This window comes from Homo sapiens, chromosome 10, assembly GCF_000001405.40.
Source record: "Homo sapiens chromosome 10, GRCh38.p14 Primary Assembly".
NCBI lineage: Eukaryota > Metazoa > Chordata > Mammalia > Primates > Hominidae > Homo > Homo sapiens.
The window spans coordinates 2,850,606-2,875,459 of NC_000010.11; the positions used below are offsets into that span (position 1 = coordinate 2,850,606).

At 42.2% G+C, this 24,854-nt stretch overlaps 2 annotated features.

Moving 5' to 3' along the window:
* Positions 14,749-15,599: an enhancer, noted in NCBI's record as "OCT4-H3K27ac-H3K4me1 hESC enhancer chr10:2907546-2908396 (GRCh37/hg19 assembly coordinates)". NCBI's record gives its function as "activates a minimal SCP1, AML or CMV promoter by ChIP-STARR-seq in primed H9 embryonic stem cells {active_cell/tissue: H9 hESC(primed)}" and the evidence as "EXISTENCE:reporter gene assay evidence [ECO:0000049][PMID:30033119]".
* Positions 15,600-16,450: an enhancer, noted in NCBI's record as "OCT4-NANOG-H3K27ac-H3K4me1 hESC enhancer chr10:2908397-2909247 (GRCh37/hg19 assembly coordinates)". NCBI's record gives its function as "activates a minimal SCP1, AML or CMV promoter by ChIP-STARR-seq in naive H9 embryonic stem cells {active_cell/tissue: H9 hESC(naive)}" and the evidence as "EXISTENCE:reporter gene assay evidence [ECO:0000049][PMID:30033119]".

The following is a 24,854-nucleotide window of genomic DNA, read 5'->3' on the forward strand; positions in this document are numbered from 1 at the left end:
AGAATACCATAAGCTGGGAGGCTTATTAACTACAGAAATTTATTTCTCACTGTTCTGGAGGCTGGAAGTTCAAGATCAACGTCCTGGCAGATTCGGTGTCTGGTGAGGACCTGCTTCCTGGTTCACAGATGGCATCTACTCGTCTACTCACTGTGTCCTCACATGGTGGAAGCGGTGAGGGAGCTCTCCAGGGTCTCTTTACTGAGGGCACTAATCTCACTAATGGAAGCTCCATGCTCATGACCTAATCACCTTTGAAGTCCCCACTTCCTAAAACCATCACTTTGGGGGTGGGGTTTCAATTTATGAATTTGGGGAGACACAAATATTCAGACCATAGCAGTCCCCTGGATCTGTGGACCAGAGAATCAGCAACGATGGAGCAAGCACCTGACCGTTTCAGATGGGAAACACTTACTTGATAATTGCTCGAAGTTCCCCAAGGAAAGGATGGGCCTATTTGATGGATTGATTCTATCTCTTGTTCTTATATGTCCCCCATGGTCTAGTAAGTAGGGCCTTACACTTAAGAGATTATCAGTAAATGATCACTGCATGGAACTGAATTACATTTCATCACTTCCGAATGATCTCATGAGGTCCCTTAAGCAATTTTGCATTTTTATTATTACTCTTATGATGTTCTGTTTGCTTATGCATAAAAACTTTTCTTACGGGTTAGATAAAAGTTCCTCCTCTTCTCGGCCCCATCATAAAATCAAGAGTTTCATTTCTGCCTTCACAGAGTCATCATCATTCTCTAAAGTTAACTGTATGTGTCTTTTTCTGCAGACGACTTGACTGAAAAAGCAATTAAGGTAGAATCAGTTCTTAATGGGAGGCAAACCCTTCCCCTGCTTATGTGTGTCTTGCACTAATATTATGGGATCTCTGTCAACAATGATATCATTAATATGTATTGTGTTCCTGTCATTTTTCTCTTTTCCTCGTTTTTTTTAAAGCCAGAGTTAACTTTTTAAAAATTTTTTTAAAAGCGTATACCTGAGTTTTTGTCTGATTATCATTAAATTTAGCATGCTTTAAAACTGGTGCAAGTGACACTTGCATACACACACGTACATATTTGCATTTTCATGCAGGACAAATGGGGAGGACTGCACAGTCCATTAAGCACGCAGTTCAGGTTGTAAGTGGAACCCTGAGGGGCTCTGGCTCAGGAGCAGCAGTTGATGTAATTTGCTTCTGAGGCCAAACTGCAGGTTTGGCAAAGTCTGCTCATTAAGTACCCTGTGAATTTACCAAAACAAACAGACAAGCTAGTCAAGCATTGGCAATGATTATAATACTGATATTTTAAAAGAAAGAAAGCTCTTCTATTCCATCACAATGTGATTTTTTAAAATATCCAATATTAAAGAATGTGTAATCTTTAGCTTAACAGCTACAGCTATTAAATGCTTAATAAATGCTCTCTGTCACTCAGTTTTTCTTACCATTAAAAAGGGAATAATAGCAGTACCAACTTTATATGGTTATTATAAGATCAAAAATGAGTTACTATGCATTGGGAAATTAGAACAGTGCCTGGTACGGAGTAGTACTTAATGACTGTTTGCTTTTATTGCCTGCCTCAACAGACTGAGAATTTTATAAAAGCTGTGATAGTTTTCTGTTTGTAAATGACATTTTCCTTAAAAAAATACTAAATAAATGAATAATTTTAGTATATAAGGGCTATATACTAAATAAAGGAATAAAAAAGTAAGTAAATTAATAAAAGATAGAATACAATCTGCTAAATAGAAAAATATTTTCATAAGGCAGACCTAATATTCATATCTTCATGTGAGTTTTTTATACAAGTAATTTTTGTGTTGGGAGAATTAACCTGTAATTGATCAAATCCACCCATTCCCCAGTGTCACTGCAAAATAATCCACAAACTCAAAACCTTTTAAATATCACATTTCAACAAACACTGAGTGTTTGTTGAAGTCAAGCTGTTAGATAAATCATTAAAAAATGCCTCGTTGAAGAAGTAACCCCATATTCTTTGGGATATGCTATTTGTAGCTATGATTGTTTTAACTGCAAGAATCTATGAGATAGGGAAAAAAGAGGAAATGTTACTGCTATTAACAAATAATTATATGGCTTTTTAAAATGAATATATGCATTGTATTTACATATGAATTCCATCAAAATAATCTGGGGACACATAAAAAGTCAAAGAAAGTACTGAGATGGCTGAGTCACATCTTCATGCTGCTTTTCAACTCAATTTAGTTCTGTACTGGAGGAAATAACCAATAAGTGATAAAATTAACACATTTTCCAATGTCCTTTTAGTTTGAATATGAAATATTAAATTTAATTAACTTGTTGAAAAATAACCATAAGGCCATAATATTAAATTTTACATATTAGAATTATATGTCCAAATGACTAACTAAAATATTATTAGTGCTACTACAGGACCTATTTATTCTATAGCTTTGGGCCCAGTTGACCAAAACACATAATGAATCTGGAACTGTGCCAATTAGTTGTTACTCAACAAATACTTGATTGATAAATGGTTAAATTTCTAATGTGAAAAGTCGCTTCTACTTATCCCCCTGGGAACACACTGGGTGTGTTTTTACTTAGATATAAAAGGAGTGGTTTCTGTAGCCTAATTCAAATTTAAAAGTTTGGAAAAAACTGCATAAACATAAAAGAAAGAAAGAAATTCAAAACAAGCAGAAAGAAGATAATAAAAATAAGAGCAGAAACCACTGAAATTGAAAATAACAAAATAATCGAGAAAAATCATTAAAACCAAATGGTTATTCTTAAAAAAAAACTCATAAAACTCTAGAAAGACAAAGACAAAAAGACAGAAAATGCAAATCACTAATATTAGTAAAAATAAAATATCCCACAGACCCTGCAGCCAGCCCTTAAAAAGATAAGAAAGGAATGTAACAAAAAGTTTTACACTTACAAATTTGGCAACTTAGGAGAAATAAGCTAACTGCTTGAAAACAATAGACTCCCCAAACTCAACCTGAAAGAGAGCACCTGAATAGTCCTATAACCACTAACGAAGTTTTATTTGTAATTACAATATTCCTAGTAAATCTCAGATCCAGATGGCATCACTGAAAATTTTTTACCAAATATTTAAATAAGAGTTTACACTACTCTTAGAAAATCTCTTCCAGAGAATACAGAGGACCGCATTCTGGTTTGTTTTGTTTGTTTGCTTGTTTGTTTTTATATTCAAATTGCTGTGATCTGAAAGAAGAGCTCTCTTCACAATTCACTTTATGAGGTCGGCATTTTCTTGATAATAAAAATAGGGAAAGATGGTACCAAAAAAAGAAAAAATCCCCCTACAGACCAATATCATTCATGAGCTGAGATACAAAACTCCTCCACAGAATACTAACAAATCAAACCCAGAAACGTACAGCAAGAATTACACACCATGACCAAGTAGGGTGTATTCCAGGAATGCACGGCTCACTCAACATTTGAAATCCATTAATGTAATTCACCTGTCAACAGGTCAAAAAGAAGAAAGACCACATGATCACATCAGTTAATATGCACATACACAAATGGCAAAATCTAACATCCATTCGTGATAACGAATAACTCCCAGGAAGTTAGGAATAGATGGGAACTACTGAAATTCCATAAAGAGTGATTTAAAAATACCTACAGCTAACACCATGGTTACCAAAAGAGTGAACTCCTTCCCCCAATATCAGGCACAAGGCAAGGACATCCATGTTCACCCTTTGTGATTCAACATCATACAGGAAGTTTGGCTACCACAGTAGAGTAAGAAGACAAAAATAAAATGTGTACCTAAGAAAAGGAAGAAACTAAGTGTTCCTATTTGCAGGTGGCATGACTGCTTATGCAGAACATCCCGGGGAATCTTTGAAAAAGAAAAACTATTTTAAAGACCCTCCTAGAATCCACCCAGTAATTTACCAACGTCACAGAATACAAGACCAGCACATAAAAATCAGTCTCATGTCTATGTACTCACAATAAGCATATAAAAATTAAAACTGAAAATTTTGTTTAAAATTGCTCCAAAGATAATGAAATCCTTAGGTATAAATGGAACATGTCCAAGATCTGTATGCTGAACATTACAAAATACAAGAGACAGAAACCGAGGAAGACATAAACAAGTGAAGAGATCTGTTGTGTTCCTCTATGGGAAGACTCAGCATAGTAATGGTGCCAATTCCCCCAAATTTGTATATGAGTTTCATGCAAATTTTATCAAAACCTCAGCAAGATTTTCTGTAGACATGAACAACATATTCTCAAATTTATATAGATAGACACAAGCACTAGAATAGCTAAGACAACCATGAAGAAAATAATGAGGGGACCCTCCACCCCACATGAAGGATTACTATAGAGTGACAATAATCCAGAAAGTACTGTATTGGTGAAGGGATAGACATATAAATAAATGGAATCAAAGAGAGAATTCACAATTAGATCTACATAAATATACCACATTTATTGGTATATTTTGCACAAAGATGCCAAAGCCTAGCTTTTTCGACAAATGGTGCTGGAACAACTGAACACAGGCAAAATAAAAGTGTCAACCTAAGTCTCACATCTGATACAAGAATCAATTCAGTGGATCACAGAGTTAAACATTAAGTATAAAATTTGTAAAATAAATGGGAAAAAAATCTTTGGAGTCTAGGATGAGGCAAAGAGTTCTTAGATTTAACATCAAAATTATAATCCACAAAAGGGTGCATTTTGTAACTTAGATTTCATCAAAATTAAAAGTTTTGTTCTGCAAAAGACCCTGTTAAGAGGATGATAAGACAAACTACAGCCTGGGAGAATATTTTCAAACTACATAAAAAAGTCAAGGAAAAGTATCTAGAATGTACTATGAACTCTCAAAACTCAAAAATAAGAAACAATCAAATAAGAAAATAAGCAAAAGTATTTGAACAGATATTTCACTGAAGACATACAGATGACACGTGATCACAGGAAAAGATGTTTAACTTCATCAGCCATCAGAAAAAAAATGCATACTAAAATCAAAATGAGATGTCACTACGCTACATACCTGTCAGAATGGCTTTAGGAGTAGTGACAGGATAAAATACTGGCAAGAGTGGAAAGAAACGGGTCTCACATACATTGTGGTAGGAATGTAAAATGGTACAGCCACTCCAAAAAATAATTTAGTAGTTTCTCGTAAAAATAAGCATGTAATTAACATATAACTCAGCAATTGCATTGTCGCGTATTTATCCCTAAAAATTAAATACTTATTCACAAGAAAACCTACACAAATGTTTATGTCATCTTTATTCCTGACAGCAAAAACTAGAAACAACTCAAATGTCCTTCAACAGGTAAATAAAATAAGCTTCATGCATATTATGAAATACTTTACAGCAGTAAAAAGGTGCTAAATTTTAATACATCCAACAATTGAGGTAAATCTTCAGATAATTCTGCTGAGTGAAATAAAACGCTCATTCCAAAAGGTTACATACAGTCTGATTCCACTTATTTAACATTCTTCAATTAGTATGATTATAGAAACAGAAAACATGTTAGGAGCAAACAGGGTTAAAGACAGGAGGAGGTTCTGGGGCGGGGGAGAAAACAGCAACTCAAAGGGTCCCTGTGGTGAAGGGATGTTCTGTACCTTGATCGTGGTGGTGGGTACACAAACTTACACCTGTAATAAATTACACACACACACACATACACACACACATGAATGAGTACAAGCGCAAGTAAAACTGAAGAAATCTGAACAAGATTGGTGGATTGTATTAATGTGGATATACTATGATGATATTATATTATGGTTTTGCTCAATGTTATCATTGAAAGAATCTCAGTAAAGGACACACGGGATCTTTGTATTATTTCTTATATATGCATGTAAATCTATGTTCTCTTGAAATAAAAGTATAATTGAAAAAACAATTTGAAAAGTATATTTCGATAGATTCAAACATCTTCAGTAGAAACAAACGGCAGTTCTGAATGAATACATTAGCTACCTGGCAGCTATTGAAATCGTGCTCCTGCAGGACATAGCACTGCCGTGATGCGGTCTGCACCCTGTGTAATTTCCACTTGGCTACGTGACAACTTGGGTTGAGGATATGCTCACAGTTTGGACAAATGACTGTATTATGTCTCATTAAGGATCATAAATACCAATCAACCTAATCACAAAAGTGCTGTTTCAGTGTTCAGACAGCTCTTTAATCTGGACGAAGGTGACAAAGATGAGTAATTTTATTATCTTAATCACTGCATTTACTACTGTGGAGAAGAGAAACACAGCCCTTCTGTTGTTCTGAATAAGCCATATCCAAAATTTTGCTTCTGAGATTTCTTTAATAAGAAAGAGAGAGAAGGAAAGAAGGAAGGAAGGAAGGAAGGAAGGAAGGAAGGAAGGAAGGAAGGAAGGAAGGATGCAAGAAAGGAAGGAAGGGAGGGAGGGAGGGAAAGGAGAGAGGAGGGAAGGAGGAGAGGTAAGGGGAGGGGAAAGGAGAAAGAAAACTGAGATAAACAGGTAGCACAACGTCGTAGGAAATAGCTCAGGAAATACCAGCTCAGGCATGGTATTTGAGCTGGTCTGGGTTTGAATTCTATTTCTGCAAGTCTCTGGACTTTGGAGAAGTTAATGTCTCTAAGAGGTTTCTTCATCTATAAAATAAGAACAGTAGTCAGCCCTATTTTGCAGAGTTGGACAAAATATGATGAATCTAAGGTTTTTAAGACACAGCCGTTGGCCAATAACGGATAGTTATTATTAATTTATGAACAATAATCCATGTACTTTTCTTTACTTTACACTCAGATTTAATCTAATCCGTATTTATTGTTATAAGGATGCATTATTTCTAATGTGTTTCCTGCTAAGTGTCTCTGTGATTGGCAATCACATACCCATTGTAGACTCTGAAAAATTTAAGAAATAGACATGAAGAGAAAAATAGTTGCTTTACTGCTACTAAAAAATATTTTAAAGAAAACAGATTAGATCTACTCTGAAATGGGATTCTTATTACCATCTCTACTCCAAGTCCAGACCTCCACAGGGGAGAAACAGGTCTCTGAGAAAATTGTTACACAGCCAGTTATGACAATCTCTTCTCCTCAATTCCTTAAATCAAGAACTAAGAAAAATTAGGCCCTAGAATTACCTCTAAAGGACATACTTAGGTAAGCAAAGAAGAGACCAATCTGATAGCCTGGAAGAGAGGAAATCAAAAAGTCAAGAAAACTTGGGTACTTCTGCTCACATCATTCTTCAGATTTCTACACACATAAGAGCAATTAATCAATGACGGCTTAAGAGGTTCTCTGCAAAATATTCCCAGGATGATCTCCTCTAACCAGTGACCACTAAAGGAGCAAAAGATTGTTTTATTTGTATATGTTGTGTAGAAGAGGGCTTTGTTTTAGAAAGCCTGGGTTTTGCCTTTGAGATGCTACTTTTGAAAGTTAAAGAGAACTGGTAGAAGAGACAGAAGGTCCTGATGTGTCCAGCAGGATCTTTCTGTTCCTACATATCTTCCCCTCTAAGTATCTACCTATAGGACACTGCTTTTACCATGGCTAACTTCTCTTTATCTTCCTATCTTCTTTGTTTTAATTCTATGTTTTTTCTCTTCTGTCTTTTATTGTTTCTCTGAGTATATTCTTTTTCATAGAAAAAAATGTTGGCCATTTGAAGACATTGGGCTCAATCACAAGAGTTCTGTCTGGAAAATTAAAGAAATGCAATGAATGCATTGTGACACGTCTTCAAGCTCCTTGTCTCTTACTTGGCAGTTTTCTTTGTTGCTGGGTATTTGTGGACTTCACTTTGCAAGAACGTCTCCCTGGATACTTCTAGTTTAACTGTTGTTTTAGTAGCATAGGAGACTTGGCAGGATGGATACTGGATAATTCATATATTTCATCAATTGCTGTGAAACAAACACCTTGGAAGTTTAGTAGCTTAGAAAATCTCATTAGTTTGGGATTCTGTGGGTCAGTAGCTGGAACTGGGCTCAGCTGGGTGACTCTTCTGCTAATATCCATGGAGTCACCTCTGTAGCTACAGTTTTCTGGTTGACTTCATTCACGTGTCTGGTAGGTGATGTTGGCAGGTGCCTGAGCCATATTTCTTCAGCAGACTACCCTGTGCTTCCTTTTATAGAGGAAAAGGAGTCCCTAGGATCAAGAGACAGAATTCCCCAGTGAGAAAGCTCATTTTCAGCACCTGCTTGCATTATAATTGCTAATGTTTCATTGGCCAAATAAAGTTACATGTCTAAGCCCAGAGTCTATATGACCAGGACTGTCCAAGTATATAAATCCAGGGAGGTATCCAACAGGGACTAACACTGCTAAAATTTACAACAGGCCACCCTCAATGCCAATGATTCATGTCTCTAACCTACAAAACATACTCATCTCCTCCCAAGATGCCAAGATTTATCCAGTCACTGAATCAGGCGCCAAATCCACAACCATGTGGCTTGCATGAGGTTCAGATGTTAATGAGATTCTTCAAGTGCAACTTCTCAGGTGGAGTTCCTCCTGATTGCATTAAGACAAAGACTAGATAACTGCAACAGGCATGCCTACTTTAAAAGGTGGGGATTGAGAAGGGCAAAGCAGTCACTAGACCACAGTAATCATGAAACCCAACAAGCCACACCTTGCCAGTTCCCCAGCAAAAGGAGCATATTTCTTGACAAGGGTCGATGTTTGCTACCTGAGAGTAGCACCTCAGTGCACTGTTCTCCATGGCTCTCTGCTCTGCTTTCTGACCTCTTGGCTCTATCCTGTAAGACATCTTTCTTTTTCTAAAAAGGAGTTGTTTGCAGCTGAGCAGCTTTCTCAGCCTAAAACCTCCTTATAGAAAGTTAGAAATGCAGGGTCTTTTAAAAAATTTCTGAACAGTCACAATCCTTTTGGTGTACACTGACACAATTTCTTTAAAAACTTTGTGGCTTCCTGATGTATCTTATTGAAGTTCATTCCATGACAAAAAGCCTATATCCTAATTCTTTTTGAGAAAGATCTTTTTCTATGTTGAGCATGTCTTGACACTTTAAACAACTCCTTTAATATTTTTAGAAGTCTGTTTGTCTAACTTTTCTTTACATCTTTTTTAAACATTTTTTAAAGGGGCTGTGTAGCCACACATTTGATTTGATCATGACTTGAGATCATTTCTTACTTTGAGAATCTTTTATTTTCCCACTGGCAGGTACTGAGTTCTTTATGTTTTCTCTAAAGTTTGCTGGAAAACTAGAGTTTCTTCCTTAGTCATCTTTCTCTTGTAGTACTTTATCCTACATCTACACGCATCCAACAAAATCTATCAACATCCTACTTAAATATAACTCTTTAGCTCTAATCAACAAGACCATTAGGGGCTTTTTCCCCTCAGAATATGGGAGACAACATTTTGTTAATTCTCATAACACTACACACATGTCACTGTTTTCCCAACCTTCTGTAGAAGTTTCTTTATTTTTTTTCCTTCCTTTAGTCATCACTCAGTTCCAAAGCCAATACCACACATTTAGGTTTGGTTACAACACAATCCAACTTCAAAGTAGCAGTTACTTTTTAAAATTTATTTATTTATTTATTCCTGGATAACAAATCATTCTAAAAATGATTGTCCGAAAACAACTATTTATGAGCCCATAATTCTGTGGATTGGTAGTTTGGGCTGGGCTCAGCTGGATGGTTTTTCTCCAACTTGCATCTTGATTTACTCATATAGGTGCAGTCATCTGATGGCTCAGCTGGAGCTGCTGGTCTGAGACATCCTCAGTCGCTTCTCTGACAGCTGGTTTTGTCTCCAGTGAACAAGTCCTGGCTTCTTCACATAGAGGAAAACAGCCCAGCAACACAAGAGAGTAAGACCAGCTATGCAAATGTTTGTCAAGAATTTGCTTTCTTCAATTGTGTTCATCTCCCATTGGCCAAAGCAAGTCACATGGAGTCAATATGGTGGCAGAGAAGAGGCCCACAGGGGTGTGGATGCAGGGAGGGATGACCTTGAAGGGAAACCATTATAATAATCTGCCACAATGTTTTAGGAATGCTAATATGATAATAACATCACTCTTTATTGAATATTGTGTTAGAACCCTGACAAGTTCTTTACGTTTAATCTTGCTTAAATTCCATAACAACATTATTGGGAAGGTAACCACTTCAAAGATGAGGAAAAAAAGCTGAAGATGTCCAGTGGCAGGATACAGAAGAAACTAGTGGCAAAGTCAGGCCTCCAACTAAGGTCTGTCTGACAAAGTCTATGTTTTTAAGCACCGTGTTACACTGCCTCCTCATAGATGGTATTCCCACAGGAGACCCTCAAAAATAATCTTGGGTTCTGATTTATTTTCTTATAAAATAATTTCTCTTCATTCAGGTATGAGAAAAAGATCTTTCTGTATTATATTTTTGTAATAAATATCAACCAAACCACTGATTATTTTTATAACTTGTTCTAACCAATCAATAAACATTCACCAGAACCAAATTTTAGTGTGGAGAAATGAATACTAAGGTTATCAAGGGAAGGCCAGGTTTGAACCCCAGTTCTGCTATTATGTAGATGTGTGAATTCCATTGCATGAATCATTTACCCCCCTGAGCCTCCATTTCCCCATTTGTAAGAAAGAGTTACTAACCTCACAGGATTATCGTGAGGGTTAAATGTGGCATTGGAATAAACACATTTTATTAACAAGAAAGTGCTACAAAAACACAGCATGTTAAATTAATAAAGAGAAATCTGGACTGTCTTTGTGCATAACTAGATCTCTGTTGTTTAACACCTGCTTTTGAGGCCACTACAGTGACTCAATAGAATGATCGATTAATTTAGCTGGAATGAGTTTTCTACCTCCTAGCTAGAAAAATTGTAGTAAATATTTAATGTAGCATCTTTATAATTTGTTTCTTAATTCACCTTTGTTCTCCTTGGATTTTTACTTATTTTCCTCCTCCTAGTTGTGGAATAGCTTAACTTTTCTTTCCCCAGTCAGACTGGAATAGGAGGAAACTATCCTTTCTCAATCCCTTTCTCAAACTATCACTCTCAACTAGATTTGTCAGCGTTATGATCTACATTCCCATTTACAATATATTTCAGCTTGTCTTTCATGCTGGTTTCCACGTCTTTTTTATCACATCTCTCACTATTTGCCCATTAAAATGCTATAAATAACATCAGATCCTGTCTTGGACGCAGCCGTTCTCACTCATCACTGTCAAAGTGCTTCCAATGATAGCGTATTCCTCTTAACCACTGCCAGAAACATGAAGAGCACTTGAAGAATTGCTTGATTCTTTATGACAGCATTTACCCTCTCAACAAAGAACCCATGGTATTTTATGAAGCCTGATCTCTCAGTAAAAACTCACTAAACATGCCCTCAGGGTGATACATTTTTTCTGGAGCTATGACCATCTACAAGTCACTGTGCTAGAGGAATAAGTCAGCCTCCTTGCCTGCAAGGGACTTAAAATCTTACAGGAAAAGAGGGACATCGAGAGAGAAAACTAACCAAGTAGCATGATGAACTCATTGGCAGGTGCCAACACACTGTGCTGCCATGATGAAGACCTTGTGCCGTCCAGTGGGACTTGTTGAGAGCTTGCTGCAAGTTCATTTTCCAGATCTTTTACAAAAATTAGGTGACATTTTTTGAGCATGAGTTATAAACACTTATTGACATTAACATTAAGGATTTTGATTAATCCTTCTACATTTTTGCTTTTTCCCCTTTATAACCATTTTCTGCTTGCCAAGACACTTAAATTATTTATTCAGAATTCTGCCAAAATGTAAACCAGTAGGATATCTTCAAAATATTTGATTATTTGCTTCGTTTGGTTTCTACTAGTAGAAGCACAGACGGAATACTTACAGATTATTTTTGGCCTGCTCATTTTATCAGTGTATTTTGGGTTTCTTGATTTACCTCATATTTTAGCACATGTTTAGCTTTTGCTTATGTAAAAACCATTTCAGTTAGCTTATCTTAACTGATTTCTCCAAGACAATTCATCAGCTGATACCCTTCCGTAGTTCGTCTACTTAAATACCTTTTCCTGGTGTGCACTGGTGCTGAAAGTTCTACTACTTTTATTTGTCTGATCTTTTTTTCTTTCCATGAATATACCTTTCCACATTGCTGTACCAACGAACACTAAATTAACATACACCTTGCAATGCTGCAGAACTCTCATAAGGCCTCAGTTCTCAGTGATTGTCTTTGTTACTAATTATTTTTCACAGGTGAGTGATACGGTATTTTGAAGAATCTGTCAATCTCAGTTTAAGGACTGCTTTCTACAGAATCCTTCCCACCTTCCTCAGGAATATGTTAGGACACCCTCTGTGTGTCCACTTCGCTTCAGACTTGCTGGAATTAAAGAAATGTTTAGATTGTAGTTGGCAAGACCATCAGGTTGAGTGTCTCGGTATCAGCAGCACGGTGATCTGTCTTTCTTTCTCTCTTTTTTTGGGTTTTTTTTTTGACATTTTGCTCTGTTGCCAGGCTGGAGTGCAATGGCACCATCTCGGCTCACTGCAACCTCCGCCTCCTGGGTTCAAGTGATTCTCCTGCCTCCGCGTCCCGAGTAGCTGGGATTACAGGTGTGCGCCACCACGCCCAGCTCATTTTTGTATTTTTTTAGTAGAGACGGGGTTTCACTATGTTGCCCAGGCTGATCTCGAATGCCCGACCTCATGATCCACCCGCCTCGGCCTCCCAAAGTGCTGGGATTACAGGCGTGAGCCACCACGCCCGGCCATGGTGTTTTTTCTTTATTCCCCGTATATGCCCCCAAGTTCCCACCCAGCCCTGTGCTCTGAGACGCTGCCCTGCAGCACATCCCAGTGGCCTCCGGGTGGGCATGGGGGCTGGGGAGTCCCAGGAGACAGATGAAAGGAGTTAGGCAGAGCGTTCAACCTCACCATCTCTCCATGGGGAACCCCACAGGGGGCCGCCTTCCTTGACAAGCAAGGCTGTCCATATGGCTGGGCTGACTCTGAGCTTCTGTAACTATTCCCACCCCACCCTCCAGAGCTGGCAGTCACTGACCCTACTCTTGTAAGTCCCTGACTGCATTTTGGCTTGCTGGTTTTCCTACAGCTTGCCCATCCTTTTGTAACTAGCACTTTACTAAACTCCCTTACTCCTGATCTAGTGGGTGACTAACCCAGTGCCTGGCACATGGAATTGGCTTATTTAATGAACAAGATAAATAAAGAAGCTTACAATGTGACAGTGTTTACCCAAAAAAAAAATTAAGGAAAGGGAATTTAACTTTGTAGTTGCATATTCACAAATTGAGAATGAGGAGGGAATAAACAAGAACCTGAATTTTTCTATGCAGATACATTTGTTTGGAGATGTAGGTTGCCTCATTCTTACAGGCAGAATTCAAAAGTAAAAAACTGCACAATGACTCATGCATCTGACCTCAATTTTGCCTTTTTAAAATAAATCTGACCTATAAGACATATATTTTAAAAATTGACCTATTTTATGACCTGGTTGCATCTCTTCAATGAACAAATCAAACACTTGGATGAAGGCGTGGCGTCTGTTCTTGAGAGAAAAGGAGGATGATGTGATTCAAAGCACAGGGGAAATTACAGTATATTTAAAGGAATAAATCACCTGGGGCCTGTTATGTTACTTAATTTTAATCAGCATATAGGTCACCAACCGACGGAATGATTTAATTTGGCTTCCCTGAGGTGACTTTATCTCAAGACGTAATGATCTCCTTGGAAGCCTCATCCATTGTCAACAAGATCAAGTCAATAGGCAGGGCTCAGAGGCCTACAGTAAGCCATGTTGGGGAGGGTGTGAGAGGGGAGCATCAGGACCAGAGACACGCAACTTTGAGTGTCTATATTAGAGTTTGGTGATGGCTTTACATCTCTTCACTAGATTCCTGAGTTTCTGTGATTTAGGAATGCTGGCAGTATGTGAAACTGATGGACGCCCATCAGTAGCTCTGATTCCCAGAAACTTCTACAGCTGGAGATGCAAGGTACAAACATATGACATGCTTTTAAAAAGGAGAGAGAAGGCCGGGCGCAGTGGCTCATGCCTGTAATCCCAGCACTTTGGGAGGCCGAGGCAGGCGGATCACGAGGTCAGGAGTTCAAGAGCAGCCTGGCAAACATGGTGAAACCCCATCTCTACTAAATATACAAAAATTATTCAGGTGTGGTGATGGGTGCCTGTAGTCCCAGCTACTTGGGAGGCTGAGGCAGGAGAATTGCTTGAATTCAGGAGGTGGAGGCTGCAGTGAGCCAAGATTGTGCCACCACACTCCAGCCTGGGCAACAAGAGCAAAACTCCATTTCAAAAAAAAAAAAAAAAAAAAGGGAGAGAGAAGATTTTAGGAAACTTTTTGAGGCAAAGCAGGAGGATTGCTTGAGGCCCTGAAAAAAAAAATTGTTAATTATCTAAAAGTGCTGCCATGATGCACCTGCAGTCCCAGCTACTAAGGAGGCTGAGGCAGGAGGATCACTTGCAAGCAGGATTCCGAGACCAACCTGAGCAACATGAGCTGGAGCTTGCATGGGATCAGGACCAGAGACGCGTGGTTTGAGTCCCAGCCCCACCTCCTGCTGTGTAATCTCGGGGAAGTTATTCACCTCCTCGAAACCTCGGTTTCCTTATGAATATAATGTGGACAATACAGCAATCTCATAATATGATGATAAATCAGTGAGATAATATGCGTACATTTTTTAGATCGGTGCCTGAAAGCACACCATGGGTGCCTTATAGCTATCAGTATCTTCCTCATTGGGTGGACAATTAAAAAGTAAACTTTTTTTTTGCTCACTACAATAAAAACTAGTTTTTTTCATGATTCAAAATAAGAGACCAGGAATGACCTATCTATTCCAAGCTTTTGAAAACACAGAACCTGCAGATCTGAATGCCTGCGGGCTGTGGTGCACGGCAGTCATCCCGGCCCCTGTGCTCCCCTCAGACTCGAGTCTCGCAGGAGCTGTCCCTGGGTGGAGAGCACGCGTGTTGAGCTGCCCCTGGGTGGAGTGCACGCATGTTGAGCTTCCCCTGGGTGGAGTGCACGCATGTTGAGCTTCCCCTGGGTGGAGTGCACACGTGTTGAGCTGCCCCTGGGTGGAGAGCACGCGTGTTGAGCTGCCCCTGGGTGGAGTGCACGCGTGTTGAGCTTCCCCTGGGTGGAGTGCACGCGTGTTGAGCTGCCCCTGGGTGGAGTGCACGCGTGTTGAGCTTCCCCTGGGTGGAGTGCACGCGTGTTGAGCTTCCCCTGGGTGGAGTGCACGCGTGTTGAGCTGCCCCTGGGTGGAGGGCACGCGTGTTGAGCTGCCCCTGGGTGGAGTGCACGCATGTTGAGCTTCCCCTGGGTGGAGTGCACGCGTGTTGCATGCGTGTTGCACGTGTGTTGTTTTGCGTGTGCAGGAGCATCTGCACGAGAGCGAACACAGGATGTGGAGAAGTGAAGGCTCCTGATAACGAGTGCGTCGTTAAACCCAACACCAGCGAAAGCCACTGAAGCTCATCCTGCAGGGAAGCTCTCAGAAATGATATGAAATGTGGCTCACAGCTATGGTGGCCCAGAGCCCAGGAAACTTTAAACCCCAAGCTCATCTGTCACTGGATGAGTGGACTGTGTGGGTGTCCAGCAAGAGAGGGCCCAGCACCCCGAGGGTAGCCCCTGGGGACGATGTTGCCGGCCTCGGGGGCAGCCGGCTTTCCTGGCAGTGGCCAGTGGTCCTGAGTCCCGGCAGAAAAGCAGCAGCCACGATGCGAACCCTCCCTCTCCTCACACCTGGTTATTCCCTTGTCAATCTGCCTTCTCCTCCAAGTGGTGGTTAGTCCCAATTCTTACAAGAAATTAAAAAAGAGGAAAAGACAGTTTTATAGAAGTTGTAGTGAGACCTGCTCATGCTGCCATTGGCCCCAAGGTGATCATTTATGTGAACCTTCTCTTTCTTCCACCCATTCCAGACACCCCTTCACCCTTGGTCAGCATGTTGGCTCGTGGCAGTTACAAGCCCAGCAGGAAAAGCCCAGTCCCTCATGCCTGAAGGGTTGGCATCCCGGTCGGGGCCTTTGTCAGGCTGATGGCTGCTGCAGCTTCTCATTCACAGTGTTTACTCGACTTGGATGCCACAAAAGCCCCTCCAGGAACCTGTTAGTCTCCAGACATACCCTCCCACCCACACAGCGAGAGGCAATCCTACCTTCTCATGGTAATCAGGGTCCATTGTCTTTGCTAGCAGAATGATCTCTTTTTTGCCTACTCTTTGGGGACCATAGAAAGTCCCATAGGTGAAGTCCTATAGCCATAAATGTAGCCTTCATGTAACAGTCATGAGACCCCTGCTCAAAAAATTCCCTTCTCTTTGGAATCAGGACCTTCAGGTGAGCAGAGCCCAAGCTCCAAAAATGGGAGTCCAAGATTTCCAAGTGGGTTGTTCAGGGTCATGATGAGGGGGCCTCCTTCTACCACTTGTTACCCAACGAGCGGCTTTCCTCCAGTCAGTAGATGTGCGCAGACCCTTGAGGGATGCCGCAGCCCTTCCAGCTGTTACACTGAGCTGGAGACTTTGCACCTCTCTGGGAGTCTACACGGATGTCTGCTAGCCCAGGACTTTCCAACATTGCAGCATGTGGCAATGCTAACGGGCTGTCTGATTGTTACAACCTCTGCACTATGAACTGGTATCAAAGGCAGAGTGATGCACCCCAAAAAATGTCTTGGGCAAGTTAGTCCCCACCGTGAATCTCAGTTTATTCATTTATAAAATGTCCCTAGAACCTGGAGTACCTTGTTATAAGCAAGGAGGGATTGTAGTTGTCAATGCATTTAAAATAGGGAGATTAACCTGGATTTTCCAGGTGGGCAACCATGTAATCCCCAGGGTTAGCGTGAGGGAAGAGGACGGCAGGAGAGTCAGCACCAGAGTGACGCAGCACGGGAAAGGCTGGACAGGCTGGCGCTGGCACTGGCTTTGAAGATAGAGGAAGGGGCCATGAGCCAAGGAACATAGGTGGCCTCCAGAAGGCGGGAAAGACAAGGAAACAGATTTTCCCATAGAGCTTCCAGAAGAAACAAGCCCTACCAGCACTTTAGTTTTAGCCAGGTGAGAGCCCTTTCAGACGTCCGATCTGCAAAACGATGAGATAATAATGCAAGAAAAAAAAAGTGCTGTTTTAAGCCACCAAGTTTGCAGTAATTTGTTACAGCAGCAATGGGAAATTAATGCAGCGGGTTCTTTATCCGAAGTATGAGATGCAGAATCGCATGACAACAATGCAATCTGTGAGGCTGTGCTGAAGGTGCTGGCCAGCTCCCTGCAGGCTGAAAGTACAGAGCAGTGCCCAGGGTGTCTATCAGCCCCAGGAAGGGCAAAGCCCACACAGCCCCATGATGGAAAGTGCTTGGTGTCCTCAACATGCTACCACAACATGGAGGACCCCTCAAAGGCACTCAGCAGGGGCCATCCCTGAATCCGCTGGAGGAGCGGAAGTCATGCCTGGGGAGCCATGCACAGTGGACATCTAAGCAGCCATGGCCGTTCCATTCTTGAGCCCACCATGTTCTAGAGACAAGTTGGATAAACTCTCCCTGGATGAGTCATTTCTTCCCTCTGCAGGGCACACATTGTCTGGGAGACATCAATGTGAGGCTCAAAGACCTTTGGATTTGAGGCACCCTTAACTCCAAGCACGTGGTTGCCCGAGAGGTCCCTGCTCAGATCTGCCAGTCTTGCTCCTCAGATTCTTATTCACAGCCAAGCCATCACCTCTCTCTATAAAGACCCATCTTTACCTCCAGCCATGATTCCCTCCAAAGAAGTTGAGCACAAATTGATGGTTTAAAACAATGTCCCACCCCCTTAAATTTTACCTCATCCTTGCCCATCAGAACCACCCCAAATGGGCTATGGGACAGCTGGAGCCCATTTTTAGGTTCTCCAGTAATGTAACAAATTCACCATGAAAAGGTCCAAATGTTTCCTCTCCATTCACTGGTCCTAGGAACACAGATGCAGGCTGATGGAGAAGTGTCCATCCCACCAGGGGAGGTGGAATGGGCTGGGGCTGTCTGGTCATCAGGCCGTCTTGTGCCCTCCAGACCTAATCAGACTTGAAGCTCTAACCCTCATGTGATGGGCTGTGGAGCTGGGCCTTCAAGAGTTTGGATGAGGTCATGTGAGCAAGGGCCAGAGATGGGACCGAAGGTCTTAAAAGAAGAGGATGACAAGAGATCTCAGTCTCCCAGGCACATGCCCCCAGGAAAGGCCATATGAGGACATAGTGAGGAAGGACACGGCAGGAGGGCAGCCATCTGCAGGCAGGAAGAGCCCTCTCCAGGAGTCAAATATGCTGATGCCTTGATTTCAGACTCCCTGCCTCTAAACCTCTGAGAAATAAATGTCTGTCATTTAATCCACCCAGTCTGCAGCATTCTGTTGTGGCAGCCCGAGTGGACTAAGACAGGGGGCATCTTAGTAATTTTATTAATGCACCAATCATGGATGACCACACCCTACCAGCCACTGAGGTGCCATCAGACATGCAGATGCCCCAACCCTAGAGTCCCATCCAGGACTGGCTCCTAGGACCACGTCAGTCCCTATTGTCTAAGTGAGGTTCTCCCGAGAGGCAAGTCCTGAGGGGAAGGGGGACTGTGCAAAGTGTATTGGGAGGTGCAGGGAAAAAGGAAGTGACTAGGGCAGGGAAGGCAGCCACTTAGGGCTGCACAATTAAGGCCATGGGCAGCTGATGCTTAATCTTACAGTGAAACTGGGAAACCAAGAAAAATACATAGCTCAGAATTCTGGCAAAAGTTCCAGGAAGGAGGTGACTCACTGAACAGATGTGCATACCTGTTATAGGCAAGGGCTTATTGATTCCCTGACACCTGGTTCTGTCATGCAAATGGACAAATGGGGTTCCAGCAACCCCAGCATAGCGTTTCACCAAAGATGCAGGTGTTGGGCATTAGAGTGAGGCTGGAATACCCAGAACTGTTCAGTGGAGCCCTGGGAGTGTGTGAGAAGCACGAACCACTTCCCTACAATAGCAAATGTGTTTGTTAGTTGGATGAATGTTCTATTAGTGTTTGGTGATGGCTTTACCTCTCTTCACTAGATTCCTGAGTTTCTGTGATTTAGAAAGACTGGTAGAATGTAAAACTGATAGACACCTATCAGCAGCTCTGATTCTCAGAACCTTCAACAGCTGGAGATGCAGGGTAAAAACGTATGACATGCTTTTAAAACATACAGAGAAGATTTCAAAAAGCTATTTGAGCCAAAGCAGGAGGATTTCTTGAGGCCAGGAGTTTGAGACCAGCCTGGGAACCATAGAGAGATCTCATCTTTACAAAAAAATATTGTAATTAACCAAGAGTGGTGGCATGCACCTGTTGTCCCAGCTACTAAAGAGGCTGAGGTGGGAGAATCATTTGCATGCAGGAGTTTGAGGCCAGCCTGAGAAACATAGGGAAGCCCTGTCTCTACAAAAATGGTAAAGGTAACCAGGTAAGGTGGTGCACACCTGTAGTCTCAGCTACTTGGGAGGCTGAGATGAGAAGATTGCTGGAGCCCTGCAGTTTGAGGCTGCAGTGAGCTATGATTGTACCACTGCACTCCAGCCTGGGCTACAGAGCAAGATGCTGTCTCTAATTTTTTTAAAAAAACTATTTACCCCAAAAACACTGGTGCTATCACAAGAAAGTAAAAAGTCAATTGCTGAGTGACTGATACAAAGGGTGGGTGCTCCAGGAATTCAGGATCTGATGAGGTCTGCCCTATCTGTAGTAACATTTGCTTAATATCATGATCGATCAGCCAGAGGTTTGCTCCTAATCAGAGGTGTATTGTACCCAGTATGTGGCCATATGACGTGATATTGTGCAGGGGAAAAAATGTTCAATCACGAATTAGGCATTTTTAACTCTCATATCAGGCTCACTCACCCTGATAATAGGCTCACAGAAGTGAAGACATTACTTACATTACCAGTTCCTATGTGAATTGGGGATTTGTATATGAGGCTTTTTTGTTCAACCTGGCAAGTGGACTAAGTAAGAAAGAGAAAAAAAGCAGAGTCATTTTCTACGTTAATCAATTTTTTACCAGAATTTTGTCAAGATTAATTCTGGAGCTTCTCAGCAGCGATGGGAGAGGCTGTCACTATAGAGACGCAGGCTGTTAGCTTGTTCAGACAACACTGATCTCTTTGATCATTATGTTGTCATTAGCTTCAGAGGGTGTATTTTCGCAGCCTCAAATATATACTTATTTATCCCACTGCCATTTACATTTCAGAAGATCCACTACACTAAGCATCCTCCATCTTCCCCACAAATTAGCCTGTGTGGGTTTCTGGCCTTCTTCCCTCTGCCCCCCACTGCCCTCACCACCCCCGCCCTAGATGAGCTTTCTTCTCTGTCTTCCCATCCACAGCAACTCTACACCCAGAAAAGCACAAACTGACCCAGATCAGAGGCGAGCATGGATTGTACCTCATTTCTAAGTCATGTTTGATCTGTGATCCTTTCTTGCCATTTTTCTCACTATTTTTTCCAGTTTTCATCATCATCACAAGTTTATTGGCTGCTAGATATTTGGGATACAAAAACACAAAGAGAAGCATACACAAGATATTGAGGACAAAGACTATTTATAAGAATGATAACACAAGACGAAATGTCCTAAGTGCTGCATGATCAGTAAAAAGCAAAAATCCTAAGGGGGCTTTGAAGAAGGAGACAGTGCTGTGGTTCCTCCAGGCAGATTTCAGAGAGGAGCTGGGCTCCAAGGTGGCATAGGCTGCAGCCAGGCTCAAAGGCAGGAAGAATGTTGAAGTCACACAAGAAGCCTGCATGCATATTACCCCGGAGCCATTTTATCTGGGGCTTGGGAGAGGGTGAAGGGACAGGCTGTATCAAATTACCTTGGAAATTATTTTTAAATAGTGCTTCCTGGGTCCACATTCCCAGATGAACTTTAGGAAGTCACAGGGATCACACTCCACATATTAACATGTCACATGGAGGCACACTATAAACATGTCACATGGATCACACTGCACATACTCGTATGTCACATGAAGACACACCACAAACATGTCACATGGATCACACTCCACAAACATGTCACATGGATCACACTCCACATACTCATGTGTCACATGAAGACACACCACAAACATGTCACATGGATCACACTGCACATACTAGTGTGTCACATGAAGGCACACCACAAACATGTCACATGGATCACACTCCACATACTAGTGTGTCACATGAAGACACACCACAAACATGTCACATGGATCACACTCCACATACTAATGTGTCACATGGAGGCACACCACAAATATGTCACATGGATCAACCTCCACTAATGTGTCACATGGATCACGCTCCACATAATAATATGTCACATGGAGACACTCCACAAACATGTCACATGGATCACACTCCACAAACATGTCCCATGGGTCACACTCCCCACATTAATCTGTTACATGGATCACACTTCACTTACTAACATGTCACATGGGAAATACTCCACACACTAGCATGACACATGGGTCACACTCCACATATTAAGATGTCCCGGGTCACAGTCCACACACTAACATGTCACTTGGGTCACACTCCACATACTAACATGTCGCATCTTTCATCACTGAACAGTTGTGATTTGAGTGGGCCACAGAAGCATCTCCTTTGAAATACATGTTCTCTTTTCTTCATGCATCAAATAAACAGTTCTTCATCAGCTCTCAGGAGAACTCCTCTGAGTGCTTAAGACGTAGCGGTGAGTGAAACAGACAGACCCCTGCCCACGTGGGACCACAACCAGGCTGGAGGACATGGGAAAATAAAGCATAAGAATAATAAAGAAACACATGGTATGTTGAAAGACAATCAGGCCAAATGAAAAATGAAAAGTAGAGGATGGGCAGGGCATGCATAGGGAGTGAAGGGCAAAGGGGAGCGGCCATCACCACGGAACAGCCAGGGGGTCCTCGCTGGGCACATGAGACCTGGTCAGACTTGAGGATGGGAGGCAGCAACCCATGCGGGTATGTGGGGAAGAGCTTCCTAGGCAAAGTGGGCAGGATCTCAAAGCCCCAGGCCAGGAGTGCAGCTGATCCATCGGCCAATGTAGTATGAGACGAGAAAGTGAGGAAGGGTGGTGGTGGATAAGATAAAAGGGTTTGGGGTGTTGGGGGGCAGGTCATGCCATCACTGTAAGCCATCGCAAGGACTCGGGCTTCCCCTCTGAGTGAGGCAGGAAGGCTGCAAGGCTTTTAGCAGTGCAGTGATCTTAGGTTTTTGTTTTGTTTTGTTTTTTGAGCTGGAGTCTCACTCTGTCACCCAGGCTGGAGTGCAGTGGTGTGATCTCACCTCACTGCAACCTCTGCCTCCCTGGTTCAAGCAATTCTCCTGCCTCAGCCTCCCAATTAGCTGAGATTACAGGTGAGCACCACCATGCCTGGCTAATTTTTGTGTTTTTAGTAGAGACGGGGTTTCACCATCTTGGCCAGGCTGGTCTTGAACTCCTGAGATCGTGATCCACCCGCCTCAGCCTCCCAAAGTGCTCAGATTACAGGCATGAGCCACCGTGCCTGGCAATCTTAGGTTTTAAAGCATCATCTTAACCATGCCTCTCTCTGCTCAGGTCCCATGAATTCACTGCTCTTCTCTGCATTGAAAATGATCCTGGTTGTGTACCATGCTCAAGACAGTAAAAAAAAAAAAATGCCATGGAATCATTTTCCGTGTTCTGCAGTTCAGACGAAGAACACTGGGCCAGGCGTTTTGCCCCGTAGAAGGGCACAGGTAGAAACAAGCAAATGAAGAGATAGAGGGGCCAAGAGAATCGTGGTAACAACTGACAATGGACTGGAAGCTTAAGAGGGGAAGGCTGCACATAGAGCAGGGAAGAGCACCAAGAAATGGAAAACAAAAGTGCCATGCATTCCACGGGCTGGAGGCACTGTAGGAAAGAAGGATGCCTGGCCCATGGCCCTCAAGCTGGAGAGGCAGGAGCTGCTGTCAAAGGGGTCCATGCATGGCGATGAAAGAGTTGGGATCCAGGACAAGACAGCTGGAGGAGCTCCATGCATGGTGATGGAAGAGGTGGGATCCAGAACAAGATAGCTGGAGGAGCTCCATGCATGCTGATGGAAGAGGTGGGAACCAGGACAAGACAGCTAGAGGAGCTCCAGGAATGGAGGCACCATGTTTTGAAGATCTCCTTCATGTGCACAGAAACTAAGAGAATTAAAACAGCAGGGGTCTTGGACAGAGTTACACTGAATACCAAGATCGTTGGGAAACGAGGAGATTATAAAATGCTGAAGAGGCAATAGAACCTGATGCTATGATCATCAAAGCTGGAAGATGTAGGAAGGAGAGAGGAAGAAAGGTCTTCCAGTGTCACCTGGGGAAAAAGGAGGCAGTGGCCCTTCTTCCACCCATGGGAGAAAAATGACAATCACTTTGGAAAACTCTGGAAAAAAGGTGTCTTCAATAAAGAGCCAGGTGTCCACTAGAGCACAATGAAGGCACCTCTAGACAATGTCAATGACTAACTAGCTGCTAAAGGATTTTGTCCCTGTCTTGGTGTTTGACCTATTCCTTTTTTTCCAGACAATGTGAATTGATTTTCTCCATAACAGATTTCCCTGAAGCAAAAACTACAATCCAACCATCACTGTCGCTTAAACAAGCTGTGATTTATTAGTTTTAATCAAAAGGATGCCAGTAACAAAAAAAACACCACATGAATCAGCCACAGAAAAACCCCAGGACACCCAGCCCTTCCTGAAAACTCCCATATGATCGGCCCTACTTAGGAATTCGGGAATCAAGCCCCCAGAAGATTATGGGGAAGGACAGGAGAGCTGGCCATGCTGGCGACATGGCACAGTGCACAGATTCTGGGCTCGAGTCAGTTCTATAATTTCTGTGTAAATGAACAGTGTTATTTGAAGTGGTCCCAGAGCCCTTTTCTGGGTCATCACCCTAGTTTCAAGCACCTTGGTCCAAAGGAAAACAGGAGAAAGAACACCCCACATGCATTTGAACACTTACATGAGTTTTCACCAACCTTCTCTCCTGTGCTCAGAATTGGTTTTCACATCCTCTCTGCAGAGAGGGGCAATTTTTAGAAAAATCTAAAGTAACATTTCAGAATTACTATCTTGCTACCTTAGCTTTTAACACGAATTAGTGAATTTCTTCTTTTTCTGCACCATGTACAAATGCTTAAGTATTAATAGCACTTTCAAAAAGTTTCATTTGCTTAGCACAATTGACTTCCTCTCTTCCTATCTTTTTATTTAGCTTTCATCTTCCACTGCCCTTTCCCCGTCCTTCTCTATCTTCTGCTCCTCTCTCCAACATTTAGACCCAAACACCATGAGTCAAGGCCAAGTAAGGCGTTGGGTGGCAGCCAAGGTGAGGAGCGCCAGAACCCTGAGCCAGGACAGAAGCGGGGAAGAGGACACAAGGGGGAGTCCATGTGGCTGTGGGACTCAGGCAGGTAAAAAGGGCATTTGCATGCCCTGTGCAGGCCATCAGGTCCCAAGCAGGGTGGAAAGGCAACTGCAGGACGTGTGTCTCAGAATAAGGGTACCTGGCAGGGTATCAGAGCCAGAGGAGGCTGAAGAGAGTGGCCTGGAGTAAGGGCGACCAGGGAAGGGCTTTGGAGCTGAAACAGTTAAGTGAGATGGGACCCAGCTCTGGCCTCAGACAGTCTGTGGGTCCTATAGATTGACAGATAATAGATAGATGCATAGATA